The following is a 24,091-nucleotide window of genomic DNA, read 5'->3' on the forward strand; positions in this document are numbered from 1 at the left end:
CAAGACACAAAAAGCATTTAGGATAAAAATGATAAACATCACTTTTTAAAAATTACTTTTATGTACATTTTTAAGAGAAATGGTCTCTGTAATGCAGGTTGAAGTGCAGTGGCGAGACATAGCTCACTGCAGCCTCAAACTCCTGGGCTCAACTGATCCACCCGCCTCAGCCTCTTGAGTAGCTGGGATTACAGGCGTGTACCACTGTGTCTGGCTAATTTTGTTTATTTTTTGATAGAGATGGTAGTTTCACCGTAATGCTCAGGCTGGTCTTAACTCCTAGCCCTAAGCGATCCAATCGCTTCTGCCTCTCAAAGTGCTGGGATTACAGATGTGAGCTATCGCATCCATCCCTGAAACATATAACTATTAAAATCAAGGACTTCTCCTCTTCATTAAAAGACTCCAAAAAAAAGAAGAAAGAAGTAGCAAAATGGAAGAAAACATGTAGTGTAGTAACTTGCAAAAGATTAGTACATAAGATCTATAAAGAAAAAGGCAAATACTATACAAAAGTAAGCAAGTCAGGAAGAGTTGCTTTACAGAAGTACATATGACCAATAAATATAAGAAAAGATACTAGGTTTTGCCCGGTGCAGTGGCTCGGACCTGTAATCCCAACACTTTGGGAGGCCAAGGCAGGTGGATCACTTGAGGTAAGGAGTTCGAGGCCAGCCTGGCCAACATGGTGAAACCCCGTCTCTACTAAAAGTACAAAAATTAGCTGGATGTGGTGGCGCATGCTAGTAATCCCAGCTACTCAGGAGGCTGAGGCAGGAGAATGGCTTGAACCCGGGTGGTAGAGGTTGCAGTGAGCCGAGATTGCGCCACTGCACTCCAGCCTGGGCAAAAGGGCGAGACTTTGTCCCAAAAACAACAACAACAACAACAACAACAAAAACCTAATAGAAGACCACAATGAAATGTCATTTTACGCTTGGTAGATCAGCAGAGAGTCTAACACCAGGAAGGACTGGATCAAGTGGTGCTGCCTGGAATGTAAAATAGTACATATGCTTTGGGAAAAAAACCTGAAATTTCCAGGCCACGTGTGGTGGCTCATGCCTATAATCCCAGCAATTTGGGAGGCAGAGGCAGGAGGATCACCTGAGTCCAGGAGTTTGAGACCACTCTAGGCAACATTGTCAGACTCTGTCTCTATAAGAAACAAACAAACAAACAAAAAACAATTAGCCATGCATGATGGTGCACGCCTGTAGTCCCAGCTACTCAGTAGGACTGCTGAGCCTGGGAAGTTGAGGCTGCAGAGAGCTTTGATCACACCACTGTACTTCAGTTTAGGTGGCAGAGCGAGACCCTGTCTGAAAGCAAGCAAACAAATAAATAACTGGAATTTCCTAAAATGTTGTTACTCGTAGAACCCGTCCACCACAAAATAAGGAGTTGAGCAAGAAGTGTTCAAAGTTCAATATTCAAGAATGTTCACTACTCTTCCTTCACGGACAAATTCATCTGAAGAAAAAGTGACAAATGATATAGACAGCAAGCTCAGTGATGCAAGCTCCTTATCTTGGCGTGTCGGCTGGTCGACCAATCACACTTTGAGTAGCAATGCATCTAAGGGAAATCCTGTGTATGTGCACTGTGAGGCACATGCAAGACAGTACATGCATGTGTAACACAGAAACCACTGGATACAACCCAAACTGCTCATTCAATAATAGAATGGATAATTAAACTGGATTAGAATCACACAAGAGGATTTTACAGCAGTGAAAATAAATGGCTACATGCATAATGTAACCACATGAATAAATCTTAAAAACATAATATGGAGTGAACAAAAAAGAAAAAAAAAAGCAAGTCTCAGAAGTCTGACACGGTCATTTAGAGGTCCAAGAAAAAAATAAAGTCTGAATATACCATGTTTTATAAACTTTAAAAACAAAATTACATGTCACACAGTGCTTAAGTACATTTATGTTTGTGATAAAAGTTATTTTCACAGTATTTAGAATGATTCAAAATTCAAGATGCTTAGTGCTGGGAAAGGGAAAGTGAGAGAAGATATGGAAGGAACAGAATGATTCAAATTATTGGTAATGTTCTAATACTTGGTTCAAATTAAATACATAACCTGCATTAAGACACACTATAATACAATAATGAAGAGAGCGGAACAAAAAACTAAATTAAATGCAGATGGGATTATAAAAAACCCCAAAATGCAAGGCACGGGAAGCTCACGCCTATAATCTCAGCACTCTGGAAGGCTGGTGTGGGAGGAATGCGGCCAGCAATTCAAGACCAGCCTGAGCAACAAAGCGAGATTCCATATCTATAAAAAAATTAAAAATTAGCTGGGCATGGTGATACGGTGGTCCTGGCTACTTGGGAGGCCGAGGAAAAGGGACTGCTTGAGCCTAGAAGTGCAAGGCTAAAATGAGAAATGATCACCACTGCACTCCAGCCTGGGTGACAGAGGGAGACCTTGTCTCTAAACAAATAAAAATTAAGGCTGGGTGCAGTGGCTCATGCCTGTAATGCCCAGTACTTTCGGAGGCAGGGGTAGGAAGACAGCTTGAGGCCAAGAGTTCGAGACCAGCCTGGTCAATACAGTAAAAGCCCACCTCTACACAGAAAAAAATTAAAATGAAAAACAAAATTAGCTGAGCACAGCGGCATACACCTGTAGTCCCAGGTACCTGGGAGGCTGAAGCAGGAGGATCACTTGGGCCTAGGTGTTTGAGACTGCAATAAGCTATGATTGTACCTCTGCACTCCCGCCTAGGTGACAGAACAAGACACTGTCTCAAAAGAAAAACTTTTTTTGTTTGTTTGTTTGAGCTGGAGTCTCGCTCTATCACCCAGGCAGGAGTGCAGTAACATGCTCCCAGCTCACTGCAACCCCTGTCTCCCAGGTTCAAGCGATTCTCGTGCCTCAGCCTCCTGAGTAGCTGGGATTACAGGTGTCAGCCACCAGGCCTGGTTAATTTTTGTATTTTTAGTAGAGACAGGGTTTCACCAGGTTGGCCAGGCTGGTCTCGAACTCCTGAGCTCAAGTGATCCGCCCGCCTCGGCCTTCAAAAGTGCTGGGATTATCAGCATGAGCCACCGTGCCCAGCCAAGAATAACTTTTTTAAAAACTAAAAATTTTAAAAGGTTGGTTTTATGCAAATAGGAAATGAGGATGAAAGATTAATTTCTGTATTTCTCAGTATCTTTATTAACTGTATCATCCTCTTGGTATTCCATGAAACGGCAAGGTGGGGGGAGTCAACCCAATCTTGACTTTCTTCACTCTCTCACCTTCCAATAGCAATTAGTCAATAATTTCTATCAACTCCATCAATGAAAATATCTCAGGCTGGGTGTGGTGGTTCACTAGAGACTAGGAGTTTGAGAACAGCCTGCATAACAAAGTGAGACACTGTCTCTACAAAAAATTAGCTGGACGTGGTGGCGCATGCTTATGGTCCCAGCTACAAAGGAGGCTGTGAAAGAAGACTGCTTGATCCCAGAAGGTCTCTTGATCCTAGGTCAAGCCTGCACTGAGCTGTGTTCATGCCACTGCACTTTAGCCTGGGTGACAGAGCGAGACCCTGTCCCCCCCACCAAAAAAAAAAAAAAACCAACCCTCAAATATGCAACCCCACAGTGAGTATGAGCAGACATTAGATGAAGATAAAGGTTCAATCTTCTTAAAATGAGTAAAATTGAAGTTAAATAAAACTGAAATAAAAATTACAGGCTACCTGGCTGAGAAGGCAGGAGGATGGCTTGGGCCTAAGAGTTTGAGGGTACAGCAGGGTATCATTGTGCCACTGCCGTCCACACTGGGTGACAGAGTAAGACCTTGTTTATTAAAAACAAACAAAACCCCCAAACTTCAGGTTACTTTTAAAATTTCTTTCTAATCCCATGACAGATTAAGCACAAATTACTTGTAAATAAATATGAATTAGGTCACCTTGACTGAGTTGGCTCAGAGACTGAATAAGTATAATGTGGGAGAAACGCAATATGATTTTTTGTCTCGCAAAGATATCTGCTTTTGAAATGACTACACACCATCTGTAGGTCCACATTCCAAAAGGATGACACACCCACTTTCTGTATTGGTAAGGCAAGCCAAATTTGAAATCAATTCTTTAATTAGCTATGGTTCCAAGATGAAGTTACATAATATTAATATCTATATGATAATAGTACAGATAGAGACAGACTCTCTATAAGTGGAAAAATCCAGAGACAATGCTCAGGCATTTGTTTTTGTTTTTTAAGATGGGGTCCCGCTATGTTGCTCAGACCTGGCTCGGACTTTTAAGGTGATGTCTGTTAAGGATTTAATGATAGGGCCAGGTGTGGTGGCTCACACCTGTAACCCCAGCACTTTGGGAGGCCGAGGCGTGAGGATCACTTGAGCCCAGGAGTTCAAGAATAGCCTGGGCAACAGAGCAAGACCCTGTCTCTAAAAAAAATAAATAATTTAATAGTTTGTTGTGCATTTCTCAAGATGCTATGTGGAACAGTATGTAAAACAATTTCTATTCCACAAAATATTTGTTTAAATCTCTTATATCTCTTGAAAAAAGAAAAAGTCTCTCTTTGGTCTAAATTCTGGTCTGAATCATAAACACTTAGGAGGCTGCAGCCTCTCCATGTATCTCATGTCATTTTGTTATTGTTGATAAACCAACAGGTTAAAAATCCTTCCCCAAAAATGTGTAATCTGACCCATGTCTGCAGCGTTAAAAGAGGATTAAACGACTTAAACAAGAAGGCATATAACTTAAACTAGTGGGTCCCGTGCCAAAGACATTCTAGTAATAACATGGTTAGCAAAAACAGTATGAAGAAAGGTCTAGTAATTATTTCCTAACAGGCTGAAATAACTGGGAGAGGCATATTGGAGAAGAGATTTAAATGTTTGCCACATAGCTGCCTTTAATATAAGTGTGTAATAATCATGAATTACGACTATTTGGCAGGAACCACCCTCCATTTTCTGCACTTCATTTGTAAACTGCCAGCAGTTATTTTCAAAAACAGACTGAATCATGCTACTTCTATTTTCTGATGACTTCCCAATGTCTGCAAGGTAACAACCCTTCAAAATCAGTCCCCCAGCCATCTCCAGAGTTGCATGCACTTGACCAGAGTACCTGCTCCCCACAGACCTCTTGGCATTCATTCCAGAATATGCCACCTACCTTCATTTTTTCCTTATTTGTTCCTGTATAAAATGTCACATTCTTTGTGAAGACTTCCCTAATGGACCCAAGCAAAACTAACTGTGTTTCTTCTGCATGAGCCTCTACTTAAGGTCAAAACTATTTTCATAATAACACTAAGATGTTATTTGCCTTTTCATTCTCATTCTCACATAGATTTAGAGTCTGACACTTTAGAGGCTGCATGATGCACAATGAAATGATCGGTCAGACAGCGAAAAGAATGCACTCGTGAATTCTTTCAAAAGTTCCTCAGTCTTGATTTATATTACAGATGGTACCTGACTTACAGTGATTTGACTCATGGTGTTTCAGCTTTACAATGGTGCAAAAGCGATGCATTCTGTTGAAACCATAATCTGAATATCCACATGATCATTCTGCTTTTCATTTTTGATGTAATATTCCATAAATTATATGAGATATTCAATACGTTAGCAAGCTTTGTGTTACATGATTTTGACCAACTGTAGGCTAACGTAGATGTTCTGAGCATGTTGAAGGTAGACTAGGCTAAGTTACGTTTGGTAGGTTAGGTGTATTAAATGCATTTTTGACATATTTTCAACTTATAATGAGTTTATCAGAATGTAATCCCATTGAAAGCCAAGAACCATCTGTATAGCAAACATCAACAGACATAATCCACATAAACTAAAGCATTTCGGGTTCTCCTGGATATCTTTTAAGAGTATAAAGGAGTCCTGAGGCCAAAAACTTGGGAGAACTTAGTCTCAGAGATTTCTGTCTTGTCAAGAACAGAATGAAGCACATGGCAGGAACCCAGTCAATACTTATGTGAGACTAATCACGTCATTCCCTATATTTAACTGCAAGGTTCCATAAAGCCAGCAATACACAGTCCAAGCTCACAACCTTTGGCATCACAATCTCTATAATCTAGCTACAACCTACCTTTGTAGGCTATTCTTTCCATGTCCTTATTTGAACTTTGTATTGTGGCCAATCTAGTTTATTTCCCATTCTCTGAATAACTTTCCACTTCTGTTTCTGTGACTTCAATCACACTGTTTTACATAATCAAATACTTTCTTGAATCTGCTCACTGACATTCTAAACCTCTTTTACTTTTTTTTGAGACAGAGTCTCACTCTGTTGCCCAGGCTGGAATGCAGTGGCATGACCTCGGCTCAATGCAGTCTTTGCCTCCTGGGTTCAAGTGATTCTTATGCCTCAGCCTCCCAAACAGCTGAGATTACAGGGATGCGCCACCACACCCAGCTAATTTTTGTATTTTTAGTAGAGACAGGGTTTCACCATGTTGTGCAGGCTGGTCTCGAACCCCTGACTTGAGGTGATCTGTATGCCTCAGCCTCCCAAAGTGCTGGAATTACAGGCATGAGCCACCGCACCCGGCCTTATAAACCTCTTTTTCTATGTTCAGCTCAAATACTACTTTTTTTTGTGAAGCATTCCTCCATCAAAAATTACATGTCCCCTTGTAAGAATTCATTTTTTTATTTTTTAAGAGACAGAGTCTTGTTCTGTCACCCAGGCTGGAGTACAGTGGCACAATCAGAACTCACTGCAGCCTCGAACTTCTGGGCTTAAGCGATCCTTCCATCTCTGCCTCCCAAGTAGCTGGGACAACAAGTGTGTGTCACCATATCTGGCTAGGTTTTTTTTCTTTTTTGTAGAGACGAGGTCTCACTATAGTATGTTGCCCAGACTAGTCTCAGACTCCTTAGCCCAAATGATTCTCCCACCTCAGCTTCCCAAAGTGGTGGGATTACAGTTGTGAGCGACCACACCTGGCTCCTGTGTAATAATTCTTATAGCCCTTCCTGTGTAGAGTCTTCCATGGACAAATAATACTATGCTTCACTCTATTGCCAACCCACCAAATGCTAAAATTATTTTTTTCATGTATGTGTAGCACAAAAAATAGCTTCAATTAGTAGAGTATTAACTGTATGTCGCATGACATGACTTGCCCACAGCAAGGGGAATATCTCAAATATCCAAAATGCCTGATTTGATTAAACAATCCCCCAAAGGCAGACAGTTATATTTTGTAACAAAAGCCAATTTCTTCCTGAAAATATACATCCTACTACCTAATAAATATGAGACATCAGGAAAGTCACGTAAACCCTAGTCAGTCCTTAGAAATTAAATGTCCAATTATGAGCTATTCAGAAGTTTGAGTCTATATTTCAATATGTTTTTACTATACTTGAAAGAGCCCTTTAAATATAACAAAGAGAAAGAGAGAAGCCCACTCCACGTGATGTAAGTCTGATGATCAAATATGGTTCCACATTTTTCTTACATGCATTGGCCTAGGGTGTTTTCACACATGGTGTTTTAGAAGTGCCTGACTTTAAAAATAATGTTATGGAAATCCTCATGGTGAGAAGAGCAAGGCTACTTATAAGCTATGAATAGCATCTGAGGCGAGAATTCTAACAGTCATTTCTGGGCTGTATGTTCTTAGAAAGTTACTTCTTCGGTATTATTTATTTCAGGATTATCTTAATCTCATAATGGTCTAGAGACTAGTTAGTCCTTAACCTTCTTAAAAACTAGGAACCATTAGTTGGGTTCTTTAACACAGAGCTGTGACAACTGGCTCAAGATGTACTCATGGGAAACCTGTATTCCACAGGCTGTTAAGGAGCTCGGTAGACAATCTACTCATTGATATATTTTTAAAAACTCTTGATTATTCTATTTGTGATTAAATTTTACCAAAAGTCATCAACTTGTAAGGAAAACACTTCAATTAACTCAATCCCTCAAAACCTGTCCAAACCAGAATTGAGATGCAGACAGTAAATCCACTCAGTAGCAAAAGAAATGAAACTAATACTTGAGATCAGGAAATATAAATGAGGGTAACAATAAAAGATTTTTGAGAAACCCTTGACTAGCCCTTGAATGTACAAGTACATTCCAACTCTCTTGAGGGAAAGGGCTGGTGTCCCAAAAAGGGACTAAAATTCATTGTATTAAATAACTGATGTAGGAAAATGTCCTTATCCTTAGGAAATACATGGTGGACTATTTAGGCTACAAAGAATCATCGAATGTCTTCAACCTACTTTGAAATAATTCAGGCCGGGCTTGGTGGCTCACGCCTGTAATCCCAGCACTTTGGGAGGCCGAGGCAGGCGGATCACGAGGTCAGGAGATCGAGATCATCCTGGCTAACACGGTGAAGCCCTGTCTCTACTAAAAATACAAAAAATTAGCCAGGCATGGTGGTGGGCGCCTGTAGTCCCAGCTACTTGGGAGGCTGAGGCAGGAGAACGGCGAGAACCCCAGAGGCGGAGCTTGCAGTGAGCGGAGATCGTGCAACTGCACTCTAGCCTGGGCGACAGAGCGAGACTCTGTTTAAAATAATAATAATAATAATAATAATTATTATTATTATTATTATTCAAGAAAAAAATAAAAACATTTCTTTAGATAGCTAAATAAATATCAAAAAGTTGAACCTAACTAGTAGGTATACAAGATTTCACTGTGCTATCCTATCAATGTTTGCTGTAAGTAAACAAACTACAAGATAGGCGATTTTGTTTAGTTTCCAAGTCATGTAAAAAAATATCTACCTGTAATCCTAGCAAAACACAAGCATAAAATGTGGCCTTGGGTTGAGTGCAGTGGCTCATGACTGTAATCCCAGCACTTTGAGAGGCCAAGGTGGGATGATGGCTTGAGCTCAGGAGTTTGAGACTAGTCTAAGCAACATAGTGAGACCCTGTCTCTACAATAACTAAAAGAATTAGCCAGGGATGGTGGTGCACACCTGTAGTCCCAGATACTCGGAGGCAGAAGTGGGAGGATCACTTGAGCCCAGGAGGTCAAGGCTGTAGTGAATCATGATCATGCCACTGTATCCAGCCAGGGAGACATAGCAAGACCCTGTCTCTTTAAAAAAAAATAAAAATAAATAAAGAAAAGTTTAATAAAATCTTTATAGAGCTTTTTAATAAAAGCCTTAGTGATGCAATGAAGAAAATTTTCTTTGAAAATCAAATATGTTATCTGCATAATAAATCAATTTAACAACTTCTACATGGGGGTATATTCTCAATCGAAAAGTTACAGTAAGACTTGAAAAAATATAGGTCAGACTCAGGCCAGGTGTGGTGGCTCACGTCTGCAATCCCAGCTCTTTGGGACGCTAAGGCAGGCAGATTGCTGGAGTCCAGGAGTTTGAGACCAGCCTAAGCAACATGGCGAAACCCTGCCTCTATAAAAAACACACAAAAATCAAGGTGTGGTGATGCACCCCTGTGGTCCCAGCTATTGGGGAGGCTGAGGTGGGAGAATCACCTGAGCCCAGGATGCAGAGGTTGCAGTGAGCCAAGATTGTGCCACTGCACTCCAGTCTAGGCAACAGAGTGAAACCCTGTCTCAAATATATATGTCAGACTCTGACACTCTTTTGGTCAAACTGCTCCACTTGCTCCACTTTGCATAAAGACTTAAACATTAATATTTTACAATAGCCCACAAATTACCTTAACATCTCATATGACCTCCCCTCCCCCACCAATCGAGCTATTATAACTTTACATGAGCCTCCTTGCTGTTCTTCAAGTATGCCAGGTAGCTCCTGCCCAGGGGGCTTTACACTGGCTTCTGCCAATACTGGGAACACTCTTACACTGGATGCCTACATAGCAGTCTTGCTCACCTTATTTACATCTTTGCTCAAAAGTCACTTTCTCAATGAGACTTTCCCTGATCATTTAAAATTGTAATTCCCACACTTTACTCATATCCTTGCAACCCTGCTTTGCTTTTCACCATAGCACATCAGCCAACATACTCTTCATATATAATTACATCTATACACGTTAAGTTTTACTTATTTGATTAGATTGCTGTCCATCTTACACTCTATAAATATAAAATATAAAGGGGAGAAATTTTGGTTTACTTTGTTTACCAGTATCCTAGCATCCAGAACACAAAGAAATGATGTGATAATATGATACACTGAGTTTGATTTTTTGTGATTATGTCCAAGAAAGCTTCTCTGGCACAGGCTCATGCACTGAATGACACTGACTGAATTTTGGTGTAAGGTTTTTGGTTTTTATTTGAGACATGGTCTCGCTTAGTCACCTAGGCTGGAATGCAGTAGTGTGGATCACAGCTCTCTGTAGCTTGGGCTCAGGTGATCCTCTCACCTTGTCTTCCTGAGTAGCTAGGACTACAGGTTTGCACCACCATGCTCAGCTAATTTTTTTATTTTTACTTTTTGTAGAGATGGGGTCTTGCTATGTTGACCAGGCTGGTCTCGAAATCCTGGCCTAAAGCAATTCTCCTGCCTGCCAAAATGTTGGGATTACGAGCATAAGCCACAGCACCCAGGCTTCTGTGGGTTTTGTTGGCATTCAGTGGCATATAGAGGAAGTCAACCACAGCTGCTCTGCCTGATGCATTTGCCTATTTCAGGAGACAGGTGTTAAGTTCTCAAGAGGGCCTGGGCTCTTCAGCATTATATTTCCCATAGTATCTAAGACGGAATAGTATTTTGGAGCTATTAAGCCTTTAAAGATGCTTGTTCAATGAATGAAAACCACACAGACACATCTACAAATTTTACTTCTGGCAGCCTGCTACAATGAAGAGAAGTAGAGCTTTGGGATTAGAGAGATTTAGGTTAAATTTCTGGTTCAGATACACACTTATGTAACCTCTCCATGCCTCAGTTTCCTTGCTTTTGCAAAAAAAAAAAAAAAAAGTTACTTCCTCCAAAGGATTCTCCTGAAAAGAAACTCAAATGGCCAATCAAAAATCCCTATACAATGTGGACTAAATATGGGTACTCAGAAGTATTTTTTGTATGCCTAGAATGGTCCAGTCAATGAAAAACAAAAAATATATAAATGTACAGAAATTAATAGTTCTTGGTGAGTGACCATAGTTAAAAAGATGGACTGAAGAAGACCCTTCTCATAAGAAAACACTCATTTCCTAAATAATTCCTATGGGAAATCACTTAAAATATAAATGTAAGAGGTGTTTTGAGTGTTCATCCAGCTTTACTTTCTTTTTTTTTTTTTTTTTTGAGACGGAGTCTCGCTCTGTCGCCCAGGCCGGACTGCGGACTGCAGTGGCGCAATCTCGGCTCACTGCAAGCTCCGCTTCCCGGGTTCACGCCATTCTCCTGGCCTCAGCCTCCCGAGTAGCTGGGACTACAGGCGCCCGCCACCGCGCCCGGCTAATTTTTTGTATTTTTAGTAGAGACAGGGTTTCACCTTGTTAGCCAGGATGGTCTCGATCTCCTGACCTCATGATCCACCCGCCTCGGCCTCCCAAAGTGCTGGGATTACAGGCGTGAGCCACGGCGCCCGGCCGCTTTACTTTCATTTCACCATATACATCATATATTTCTTTTCTTATCCAAATTCACAATGAAATGTTAGATAGGTTAATGACAGGAACCCAAAACAAGTACTATATTTCTTAAGGAAGCTTATTTTCCCTATAGTATGATTTTACCATAGTTAATACCTATGTGTACACATTTGTAACACAGTAAATTATCACAATAAATAGTACCATGAACCCACCACCCAAGTACACTATTATCTTGCTAAGTAAAATCCTATATCACTCGGTTTCAAATCAGTGTGCTATGCAATAAGGCAGTATTTGTGACATGAAACGTAAGAGACATACTGTTGACTTCCTACTACAATTTTGTTGAGCCAATTCCCAAGGGAGAAACATTTGCTGTTTTTCAATTTATTCCATTTGTCAGAATCCAATATAAATCATATTATCTATAATAGTCCAGCATAAGTTACAGGGACCTATTCTCAACTCATTTGAAATATTTATGTTATGGTCTGTTTTCCTTACCCTTATTATAAGAGGACCCAAATTCTGTTGCTGCAATTAGTGAGTACAGAACACACTTGAAAGAAGTTAACTGGGAGGCTACTTCCAGATACCGTGAATGAATTTTACTGTTAATGCCACTCAAAGGTCAGCCCTTGTAGTCTCATGTGCCTCCTGTAGCAGTCTAACCTCTGCATGCTCCACAAACCATAAATTCACTAATGAATCAGGAGAATCCAGCCCCAAAGAAACCAAGGTTGCTAGATACTTCAGTCTTGTTTCAAAACCCACTAAACTAGAAATGGCTAAATTTGCAACCTATTTCATAGCCACTAATGCTCTATGGTATCGTCTACCAAAATGTGTTTTCAAAACATACATGTAAAAACACATCCCTCATTTGGCAAAGTACACAAATCTCACTGAATCAAATAAGACTGCCAATGTTTTTTCAACTCCATAACCACAGAGAACCAAAAGACCCTACAAATGAACCAATACCAAAAACATTTAGGAAATTAAGACCCAGGCTTCATTAGCCCCAGGTTTTTCCAGCCTATGCTGGGTACTGTCTGGTGGTGCAGAATCAACATAGAAGAACAGAGACGTGACTTCGCCTGCTAATTTCAGTCTCCATATAAGAAAAAGAAAATAAGTTAATTTTCAAACTAAGAATTATAGATACTCTCAAATTGCTTTTAAATCAAAGAGTTGGTACTCTAGGTGTAACCAACGTTAAGAAGAGTTAGAACAATAATTTGCGCAGAGGACTGGGATCTTAGTCCATTTTCTGCTGCTATAAAAGCCTATCTGAAACTAGATAACTTATAAAGAAAAAGGGTTTATTTAGCTCACAGTTCCACAGACTTAGAAGTTCAAGGGCATGGCCCCGATTCCTAGCAAAGGATTTTGTTCTGTGTCGCAACATGGCAGAGGAGGTCAAAGGAGACGCAGACAGGTGTACCAAGAAGAGAAACCTGAGGAGGGTCCTGAAATTATAACAACCCACTCTGAGGCGAATGAATCCATTACTGGGATAACTAATCCAATTCCCCAAGAGTGAGAGTGGAAACTCATTCACTACTACAAGAATAGCACCAAGCCATTTATGAAGGATAGGCCTCCACAACCCAAACACCTCCCAACACCATAACACTGGGGATCAAAGTTCAATATAAGTTTTGGTGAGGACAAAGAAACCATATCCAAACCCCAGCAGCAGGGATAAGAGGCTTCATTAATCTGAAAATGTTTCCATATAAGCAAAATGAGATGGCTAGACTGGCACTTAATTCAAACAAAGTAGAGAGAACAACAGGGGTAGGCCCTATGCAAACTCATAAAAAATGGTAAGATTTTAGGTTTGAAAGGACCTCACTGATATCCACTTGAACTGCCAAGAAGGGAGCACTAGGTGTTTATATGATATGTTCTGTAGAGCACTAGCTAGCAATTTTAATTTTTACTTCCTATTATCTTTATTCTAAGAGTAAATGAAAAAGACAATAGCCAGCAATGGTGTCATGTGCCTGTAGTTCTAGCTACTTGGGAAGCTTAGGTGGGAGAAATCACTTGAGCCTGGGAGGCAGAGGTTGTGATGGGCTGTGATCACGCCACCGTACTCCAGCCTGGGTGACAAAGCGAGACACTGTCTCAAAAAAAATAATAATAGGCCAGGCACGGTGGCCCACGTCCATAATCCCAGCACTTTGGGAGGCTGAGGCGGGCAGATCACTTGAGGTAAGGAGTTGGAGACCAGCCTGGCCAATATGGTGAAACCCTGTCTCCACCAAAAATACAAAAATCAGCCAGGTGTCGTGGCACACACATGTAATCCCAACTACTTGGGAGGCTGAGACAGCAGAATCGCTTGAGCCTGGGAGGTGGAGGTTGCATGCAGTGAGTTGAGATCACACCACCATACTCCAGTCTGGGTGACAGAGCGAGACTCTGTCTCAAAACAAAAAATAATAATAATTAAAAAGACAAATGAAAATCACTGTATCTAAAGCACAGTGTATATAAATTTCATACCAGTGAGATAAAGATGGAAATAATTAGGCAAAATGACACCTATAGTTCTTTAATCACCAGACATACATAGTTTCATAATGATAGAAAAGAAAAATATTAATGAACAATGTAAAAAATGCTGGGAATATACTACAAATAATTACAGAGACAATAATGTTTTTAGGTTGGCTCATGCCTGTAATCCCAGCACTTTGGGAGGCCGAGACGGGCGGATCACAAGGTCAGGAGTTCGAGACCAGCCTGGCCAATATGCTAAATTCCCATCTCTACTAAAAATGCAAAAATTAGCTGGGCTTGGTGGTGCGCACCTGTAGTCCCAGCTACTAGGGAGGCTGAGGCAGGAGAAGCGCTTGAACCTGGGAGGCGGAGGTTGCAGTGAGCCAAGATCACGCCACTGCACTCCAGCCTGGGTGACAGAGGAAGACTCCATTTCAAAAAAAAAGCCTCTTATGTAAGAGCACTTCCATTTGAGAAGCCGGTACTACGTATAAAGTTGCTTTATTAATTTCACTCCTCTTTAAGACTGATTAAAGAGAAACAGGTAATTAAGTCCTTAATAGCAAAAATGTCTCCTTTCTAACATCATAAAACAGCACTAGTAAACAATACATTACAGAAAGTATCTAATAATACCTGTTCTTCTACAGATGAGATAATTCAGAGCTAACCAGCAAAGGTAAATTGCTTTTTAAAGCCCTATGGCTATGAAGGGTAGAAAGAAAGGTAGAACCTAAGTCTCAACTTCTCAAATCCAATGATGACAATGCAGTCTACAAGAGAGGCACTTTTCATACCAAGAAACAAAGAGACTGAAAGTAACAAGATGGAAAAGTAAATCGATGTAAACAGAAACCAGGTCTGGCATGGTGGCTCATGCCTGTAATCCCAGCACTTTGGGAGGCAGACATGGGTGGATCACTTGAGCCAAGGAGTTCGAGACCAGCCAGGAAATATGGTGAAACCCCGTCTCTACTAAAAATACAAAAATTAGCAGGGCATGGTGGTATGCGCCTGTAGTCCCAGCTACTTGAGAGGCTAAGGCAGGAGGATCACTTGAGCCCAGGAGGTGGAGGCTGAGGTTGCAGTAAGCCAAGAGCATGCCACTAAACTCTAGCCTGGGCAACAGAGTCAGACTCCATCTCAACAACAACAACAACAACAACAAAAGTAAACAAACCTAAAAACATCTGAAATGGCACGCTAATATCAGGTAAGATAGACTTTAAGACACAAAACGTTATATAAGACAAAAAGGACATTCTGTAAAAGATAAAAGGTTCAATACATCAAAAAGATGTAACAATTATAAACATATAAGCAACAACAGAGTCTCTAAATACATAAAGCAAAAACAGAACTGAAGGAAGAAATAATTCAACAATAATAGTTGGAGATTTCAATACCCCACTTTCAATAAAGGAGAGAGGTATGCAAAAGATAAACAAGGAAGTAGACAACTTGAACAACCCTATCCAATAAGAGCAGAAAACATATTTTTCTCAAATGCACAAAGAATGTTGTCTAGAATAGACCACATGTTAGGCAACAAAACAAGTCTTAATTTAAAAATACGGAAATCACACAAATTACCTTCTCTGATTACAACGAAATGTAACTAAAAATCAGTAAAAGAAGAAAATCTTTAAAGTTCACAAATTTATGAAAATTCACAATAACATCCTCTTAAAATAGCCAGTGGGTCAAAGAAGAAATCACAACAGAAATTACAAAGTACAGGGGCTGGGCTCAGTGGCTCACGCCTGTACTCCCAGCACTTTGGGAGGCCAAGGCAGGTGGATCACCTGAGGTCAGGAGTTCCGAGATGAGCCTGGCCAACATAGTGAAACCCCATCTCTACTTAAAAACACACACACACACCAACAAAAATAAGCCAGGAGTGGTGGCGGGTGCCTGTAATCCAGGTACTCGGGAGGCTGAGGCAAGAGAATGGCTTGAACCTGGGAGGCAGAGGTTGCAGTAAGCCAAGATCACACCACTGCACTTCAGCCTAGGCAACAACAGAGAAACTCTGTCTCAAAAAAAAAAGAAATTACAAAGTACTTGAGAAGAATGGAAACATAAATAAATACAGCAAAACTTATAGAATGTCGCAAAAGCAGTGCTGAGGGAAATTTATACAGCTGTAAACACCTACATTACTAAATAAGATCTCAAATAACATACTCTACCTTAAAACAACCAGGAAAAAAGCAAATTTAACCCAAAGCAAGCAGAAGGAAAAAATGACGATTAGAGTGGAGAGAAATTATAGAACAGAAAAACAGAGAATCAATGAAACAAAAAAGCTGGTTCTTTGAAGAGACAAAATTGACAAGCCTTTATCTTGTCTGACTTTAAAACAAGAAAAGCAAGTGGATGAAATTACTATAATCAGTAATGAAAATGAGGACATTACTATCAACAGTTATGAGAGAACACTGTGAACTTAAAAAAATAGCTTTGAGATATAATTCACATACTATAGAATTCACCCATTTATTGAGATGTAATTCACATAATATAAAATTCACCCATTGAAGGAGTACAAGTCAATTAAATTAAGTATATCAACAGATACGTGCAACCATCCCCATGGTAAAACTTAAAACATTTTCGTTACTTCAAAGAGATATCCTTTTGCTATCAACCCCCAATCCTCCATTCCGCTTATGCAGAGCAACCATTAATCTACTTTGTTTTTATAGATTTCCCTCTTCAGGACATTTCTTATAAATGCAATCATATAATATATTGGCTATTTTCACTGGCTTTTCACTTACCAAATGTTTCAAAATTCATCCATCATGTGGCAAATGTAAACACTTCATTCCTTTTTACAGCCAAGTAATATTCCATTGTATGGATATACCACATTTTGCTTATCACATATCAGATGATGGACATTCCAGTTGTTTCCCCTTTTTGTTGTTATAAATTTTTTGCCAACAAATTAGATAATCTACATGAAACGAATAAATTCCTATAAGACACAAACTACCAAAACTGACTCATTAAGAAATGTTTAAATCTTGGTAGAATTATAACAAGAGACAGAATGAGGGCTAGGCACGGTGGCTTACACCTGTAATCCCAACACTTTGGCAGACCGAGGCGGGTGGATCACAAGGTCAGGAGTTCGAGACCAACCTGGCCAACACAGTGAAACCCCATCTCTACTAAAAACACAAAAATTAGCCGGGTGTTGTGGCACAAGCCTGTAGTCCCAGCTACTCCAGGGGCTGAGCAGGGAGAATTGCTTGAACCCAGGAGGCGGAGGCTGCAGTGAGCTGAGACCACACCATTGCACTCCAGCCTGGGTGACAGAGTGAGACTCTGTCTCAAAAAAAAAAAAAAAAAATGAGAGAGAGAGACAGAATCAGTAATCAAGAAAGTAAGAAAAGTCCAGGACACGATGGCTTTACCAGTGAATATTACCAAACACTTAAAGAATTAACTCCAATGCTCCTCAAACTTTTCTAAAAATAAAAATAAATAAATAAAAAATAAAAAAAAAAGAAAAAAAAAAGAACAATTCCTAACTTATTCTTTGAGGCTGGTTATTACCGTAATACCAAAACTAGATAAAGATATCATAGGAAAAGAAAACTATAAACAATATATGAATACAGATGCAAAAATCTTCAACAAAAGACTAGCAAACCAAATCTGATAGCATGTTAAATGGATTATTTACAAAGGCCATGTCGGATTTATCAAAATAAAAACCAAAAAACAAAAAGGGAGGGTGGTTCAACATGTGAGAATCAATTACAGAATAAACTAAAACTTTGGACTGTGGTTGATGATGATGTGTTAAAGTAGGTTTATCAACTATAACAAATGTACCACCCTGGTATTGATCGTGGGGAAAACTGTGCATGTAGGGGTAGTCAGGCAGTATACAGAAACTCTGTAATGTCTACTGAATTTTGCTATGAACCTAAAACTGCTCTAAGACATAAAGTCTACTAAGAAAAAAAAAAGGGGGGGGGGGCAAGAATCTGAGTAGGTATTTCCCAAGGCAGACATAAAAATGGCCAATAAACACATGATATTCAAGATGATTAGTCATCAATGCAAATACAAACCCCAACATCAAACCACTAGATTGGCTATTACAGGTAAAAATGGAAAATAAGTATTGACAAGGACATGAAAAACTTAGAAATGTTATACATTACGGGTAAGAACATAAAATGGTATAGCCACTATGAAAAACAGGCTGGCAGTTTCTCAAAAAGGTAAACAAAATTACCATATAACTCAGCAATTCTACCCCTAGGTATACACCCAACCAAAAGAAGTGAAAATCCTTAGTTCACAAAAAAGCTTGTATATAAGTACTCATAGCAGCATTTTTCATAGTAGTATAAAAGTGGAAACAATAGGCCAGGTGCGGTGGCTCATGCTTATAATCCCAGCACTTTGGGAGGCCGAGGCGGGCAGATCACGAGGTCAGGAGATCGAGACCATCCTGGCCAACATGGTGAAACCCTGTCTCTACTAAAAATACAAAAAATTAGCTGGGCGTGGTGGCAGGCGCCTGTAGTCCCAGCTACTCGGGAGGCTGAAGCAGGAAAATGGCGTGAACCAGGGAGGCAGAGCTTGCAGTGAGCTGAGATCGCGCCACTGCACTCCAGCCTGGGCGACAGAGCAAGACTCTGTCTAAAAAAAAAAAAAAAAAAAAAAAAAGTGGAAACAATAAAAATGTCCATGAACTGACAAATAAATATAATTGGGTATATCCACACAAAGAAATAATCAGCACTGACAAGAATGAGATACTGATGCATGCTACAGCATGGAAGAACCTTGAAAACATTATGCTAAGTCAAAGAAGCAGACACAAAGGCCACATATTATATGATTCTGTTTATATTAAATGTCCAGAATAGGCAAACCCATAGAGACAGAAAGCAGATTGTTAGTGGGTACCACAGCTGAAGAGCAAAAGGAATGGGGAGTGACCACTTAATAAGTATGTGACTTCCTATTGGGATGAGGAAAATGTTCTGGAATTAGATAGTGGTGATAGACACACAGCATTGTAAATATAGCAGAAGCTACTAGGTTATATACTTTTAAGCAGTTAAAATGAGGAATTTTATGTTACAGGAATTTTTCCTCAGCTAAAAAAACCCCCAAAACAATGAATTTAAACCCACTCAGCAACATATAAATTAACATAATCATAAGTCCTTTCAATATTCTTTTTTTCACCTACAGTTCCATGCATCTTTCAGTATTCTTGTATCTGTCTATTCAAAACCTGGATCTACAAACAGCAACCAGATAATTCACAACTGTAATACCATTAACAGTTACAAGATAATTTTTTAGTTCTAGCTACCAAAAGAAACAGACAAGAGAAAAAAAATCATGTACTAATCTTAAAAGACAAGTTTATACTGATCATTGTACTCACTTTTTAGTGCAAGTAAACCCAATTATTTGAGTAAACTGACAGGAATACAAACATATATTAACCCTGTCCCTTAAAAGCAGCAGTGACTCACCAAGCTTCTCTGGCTCATCGGGCCCTGTGCCTGCAATGCAGCTGCTCTCCAGACCGTAGGTGGGATCCACTTTCCCAGAGGCTCGTGCTGCTTCTTGTACTTTCTTGACATGAGCTTCAACCAATTCCAGTGGTACCTCCTCCCGGACCCGAGAAAACTCCTCTGGTTCAAGAATAAAAATGGAACAGCAATCTAACTTTGCACAAAAATTTGCTTCAGTGTAAAACCACCACCAGGAAACCCAACACAGTATTATTGTCTTAGGTGTAGCAACCTCTTCAGGCTCTCAGTCCCTCTATACCAGAAAAATGAGAGGACTAAATGAGACAAAAAATAGTAATAATAATGAAATTCTATGGTTCTACATTTTCTCCTACACATCACAGAGCCTTGAAATAAGAGATCTTTCAACTTATGCCAGTAATAATCAAAACTGCTGTCCATATTTTAACTGCTTACTAGATTAATAAGTCAAAAAAACAAAAACAGCAAGGATTAAACATCCATAAAACCAAGAAAGAGTTCTATGATGTGACAAAGTTCTAGTTACAATTAATGTGTAACCCATGAATATTAAATGACTTCCTTTGCTAGTTACACCAAATTCTAAATTAATCACAAAATACACAATAAAAAACCTCTGTCCCTCCAATTCCTAAAGCTCTTAATTTTAAGGTGCATTACTTAAAAATTTTGTAATACTTTTTTTTTTTTTTTGAGACGGAGTCTTGCTCTATTGCCCAGGGGATGGAGTGCAGTGGCACGATCTCGGCTCACTGCAACCTCTGCCTCCTGGGTTCAAGCGATTCTCCTGCCTCAGCCTCCCAAGTAGCTGGGACTATAGGCATGTGCCACCACACCCAGCTAATTTGGTGTCCAGCCAAATATTGTAATACTTTTATAAAGAATATGGTATCTTTCACAGGTAATATCTGATTTTTGTTATTTACATTAAAAGAAATGAATGTAACGGCTGGTAATATTTAAATTGGGATAAACTGAGTTTTTCTGTTGAGGAGATGGTTTAGGGAAGTCCATACCCAAAGCCGCTTTTGCTGCAGCAGATGCCACGCGAGGGTCCACCACAGATGCCAAAAAAGCAACAGTACTCATAACTGGATTTCCTGACTGACTGAAGGGGACAGGCTGGTAGGCCAAAGGCCCAAGGGAAGCATCTGAATTCTCAAGGTATGGGTCCTCAATGGGAAGTCTCAAAAAGTGGAGGATGCATTCATCCTGAGTACGACTTCCAACATGTTCCGACACTTTGTTCCAATCATCCTTGTACATCTCCAGGGCCTAAGACAGAAAAAACAGATGCTTTCATGTCAGGTAACAAGAAAGTAATGTGTAATATTAGAAGTTCTTTAGATAGCTTTTTTAAAAAAAATTAATGCAAATATTTATGCATAAATAGAAAGATTTGATGGTTTCCTTAGATTATTTTCAATCAGGCAAGTAAAATAAATAAAAGACATGCATACTGTAAAGAAAGTAGTCCAGGCACGGTGGCTCACGCGTATAATCTCAGCACTTTGGGAGGCAGAGGTGGGCAGATCACCTGAGGTCAGGAGTTCGAGAGCAGCCTGGCCAATAACATGGTGAAACCCCATCTCTACTAAAAATACAAAAATTAGCTGGGCATGGTGGTGCGTGCCTGTAATCCCAGCTACTCAGGAGACTGAGGCACCAGAATCGCTTGAACCTGGGAGGCAGAAGTTGCAGTGAGCCGAGATTGTGCCACTGCATTCCAGCCTAGGCGGCAAGAGTGATAGAAAGAAAGAAAAGAAGAAACAAAAGAAAAGAGGGAGGGAGGGAGGGAGGGAAGGAAGGGAGGGAGGGAGGGAGGAAGGAAAGGAGGGAAGGGAGGGTAGGGGAGAGGAGGGGAGAGGGGAGGGGAGGGGTGGGGAGGGGAGGGGAGGAAGGAAGGAAGGAAGGAAGGAAGGAAGGAAGGAAGGAAGGAAGGAAGGAAGGGCTTTTTTACTAATACATACAGACATGACTGTTTATGTAGAAAATTCTAAGGAAGCTATAAAAAAAAGTACTAAAACTGAATAGCTGAGCAAAGTCACAGGATAGAAGGGCAATAGAGAAACTGAACTATATTTCCATACATAATAGCAATGAACAATTTTAAATAGGAAGAAAAAAGTATTTAAAATAACATAAAAGCTGGGTGTAGTGGCACACATCTGTACTCCCAGCTACTCAGGGGGCTGAGGCGAGAGGATCTCTTGAGCCCAGGGGTTCAAGGCCAGCCTGACAAACACAGCAAGACCCTGTCTTAGGTCGCGATTTTCTCCTGCTGCTGTGGCCCAGACATGGCGACTCCGGCCCTGTGATTCCAGAGGTCCCCTTTGAACCATCGAAGCCCCCAGTCATTGAGGGGCTTAGCCCCACTGTTTACAGGAATCCAGAGAGTTTCAAGGAAAAGTTCCTTCACAAGACCCACGAGAACCCGGTGGTACCCATAGGTTGCCTGGCCACGGCGGCCGCCCTCACCTACAGCCTCTATTCCTTCCACCGGGGCAACAGCCAGCGCTCTCAGCTCATGATGTGCACCTGGATCGCCGCCCAGGGTTTCACGGTCACAGCCATCTTGCTGGGTCTAGCTGTCACCGCTATGAAGTCTCAACCCTGAGCCCAGGGTCTGGCTTTGAAAGCTCCGCAGAAATGATTCCAAAACCCAGGAGCAAGCACTGGCCCTACCATGGGACTTACTCCCTCCTCTCCTTTGAGAGGCCCATGCGTCGTTGGGGGAGGAAGTGACCCTTTGCGTAACTGTAACTGAAAGTTTTTTCAAAAATCCTAGTTTCTGTTGTTTGAATGTTACATACTTCTATTTGTGCCACATCTCCCCTCCACTCCCCTGCTTAATAAACTCTAAAAAAAAAAAAAAAAAGACCCTGTCTTAAATAGCATAATGAGATACTTAGGAGGAATAAACATAATAAAGAATGTATAAGAGCAACAGACTAGAATGAGTAAAACATGAGAGAACTCAAAGACCCAAATAAAGGAAGAGATATATTGTGTTCATTCATTAGAAGTCTCAGTATTAAGATGTCAGTTCTTTCCAAGTTGAACTACAGATTCAATACAATTCCAGTCAAACTCCAAGTAGGCTTCTTTTTAGTAGAAATTGATAAACTGATTCTAAAATTTATAAACTACATACATTTCTAGTTTTATAATTTATTATTTTTTCAGAGAAAATCCTGAAAGAAACCAACAAAAAGAGTAAAAGGAGTCTCCGAGGGAAAAACGGATAGAACAGTAGAAAGAAAACCACAACTATGTGGTGCTAAGAATGTTGAGGAATTAATTGGATAAAAAGAATTTATTTAGTGGCATACTGAAGTTGCTACTCTCACACCATTCTCTCCAGGACCATGGTTCTCAATGAAGGGTAATTTTTGCCCCCTTGAGGACACTGGCAATGTCTGCAGACATTTTTGGTTGACCCAACTGGAGAAGTGCTGCTGGTATCTAACAGCAAGGAGGGGCCATGTATGCTGTAAAACATATATGAACCCTCCACCCCAACAACAAAAAAATCTGGCCCAAATGTCAATATTGAATGCTCCAACTGAAAAACCTTGCATTAGAGCCTAATTTGCTGCTCTACACTGTGAGATTGAGCTTTCTATAACAATAGTTGTCTCCATGTTTACTTTTTCAGTTAATTATTTTACTTCAAAGATTTTTTTTTCTTAATTTTTAGAGACATGTTCTCACTGTATTGCCCAGGATGGTCACGGACTTCTGAACTCAAGGAATCCTCCCGCCTCAGCCTCCCAAAGTGCTGAGATTACAGGTGTGAAACACTGCACCTGGACATCAATTAATTCTTAACTCTGGGTTCCAACTGCTGCTCAGGCTTTCATTTCTGCTGGAATGGTAGAGGACTTCTCAAAACCCAAGCCAGCAAATGGCCTGACACATTAAATCCCTTGAAAAACTAGGCTAATTCTGGGTTTCCTCTGGATATTCAGTAACCTCAGGTAGTTCGAGAAGGAATTACTTTTTGAAAGATCCAGATTGTAAGAAAAAAGAAAAATAAATCTCACTCGGGTCCACGGAAGTAGAAATATATCTACTGGGGCTGTATTATGTTTCTAATTATAAATAGGGATTTTCTAGACATGCTCTATCATGCCCTTTTCCAATGAAATTTTTAATTAAAAAATATTTTTTCATGTTCCTTTCGCCAGGGAACAATAAGAAAGTTCATCAAGTTTTTTTCCAGAATAAAGGTGGAGTTGGGGAAACTTCTGAGATACAAAATCCAAGCAAGACTCAGCATCCAGAAGAGCACAGAGTTGAGAATCTGTAAATGTCTGAGCCTAGGAACTGATAATAATGCTAATAAGAGAGGCAAATTAAAGTGATGTTTTGAAAAGAGAATAATGCGGTGACACACTGGCCAGGAAGGAGGATGATTCAATGAAAGTTTTTAGTAAGTATCTTATAATGCTACAAAACAGCTTCATTCATCCTGCCATAACCCAGGTTCAG

The 24,091-nt window shown here is 40.1% G+C and overlaps 2 protein-coding genes and 1 non-coding gene across 3 annotated transcripts in view; 1 reads left to right on the forward strand and 2 right to left on the reverse strand.

Moving 5' to 3' along the window:
* The window catches only part of SMARCC1 (SWI/SNF related BAF chromatin remodeling complex subunit C1), a 196,625-nt gene that overhangs the window by 56,452 nt on the left and 116,082 nt on the right, over positions 1-24,091 (reverse strand). The window contains exons 20-21 of the mRNA NM_003074.4: positions 20,614-20,872; positions 19,574-19,735 (exon numbers count right to left, since the gene is read on the reverse strand). Coding sequence (NP_003065.3) covers positions 19,574-19,735; positions 20,614-20,872 — 421 coding nt within the window. The remainder of the gene's footprint in view (positions 1-19,573; positions 19,736-20,613; positions 20,873-24,091) is intronic.
* Positions 19,845-19,974, reverse strand: SNORD146 (small nucleolar RNA, C/D box 146). The gene has a single exon (NR_145791.1). It is a non-coding gene; the product is annotated as a small nucleolar RNA, C/D box 146 (small nucleolar RNA).
* On the forward strand, positions 21,000-22,214 carry HIGD2AP2 (HIGD2A pseudogene 2). Its single transcript, XM_047449430.1, has 2 exons — positions 21,000-21,031; positions 21,893-22,214. The coding sequence occupies exons 1-2, from the start codon at positions 21,000-21,002 to the stop codon at positions 22,212-22,214; spliced, it is 354 nt and encodes a 117-aa protein (XP_047305386.1).

Source organism: Homo sapiens, chromosome 3 (genome assembly GCF_000001405.40).
Source record: "Homo sapiens chromosome 3, GRCh38.p14 Primary Assembly".
In the NCBI taxonomy this organism is placed as follows: domain Eukaryota; kingdom Metazoa; phylum Chordata; class Mammalia; order Primates; family Hominidae; genus Homo; species Homo sapiens.

Excerpts from the sequence above, each read along its gene's own strand:
- HIGD2AP2 (XM_047449430.1), top strand. The coding sequence starts at position 21,000 with ATGGTTTCCTTAGATTATTTTCAATCAGGCAA. Across the intron at positions 21,032-21,892 it reads GATTATTTTCAATCAGGCAA|ACATGGCGACTCCGGCCCTG; the intron begins GTAAAATAAATA and ends GCTGTGGCCCAG.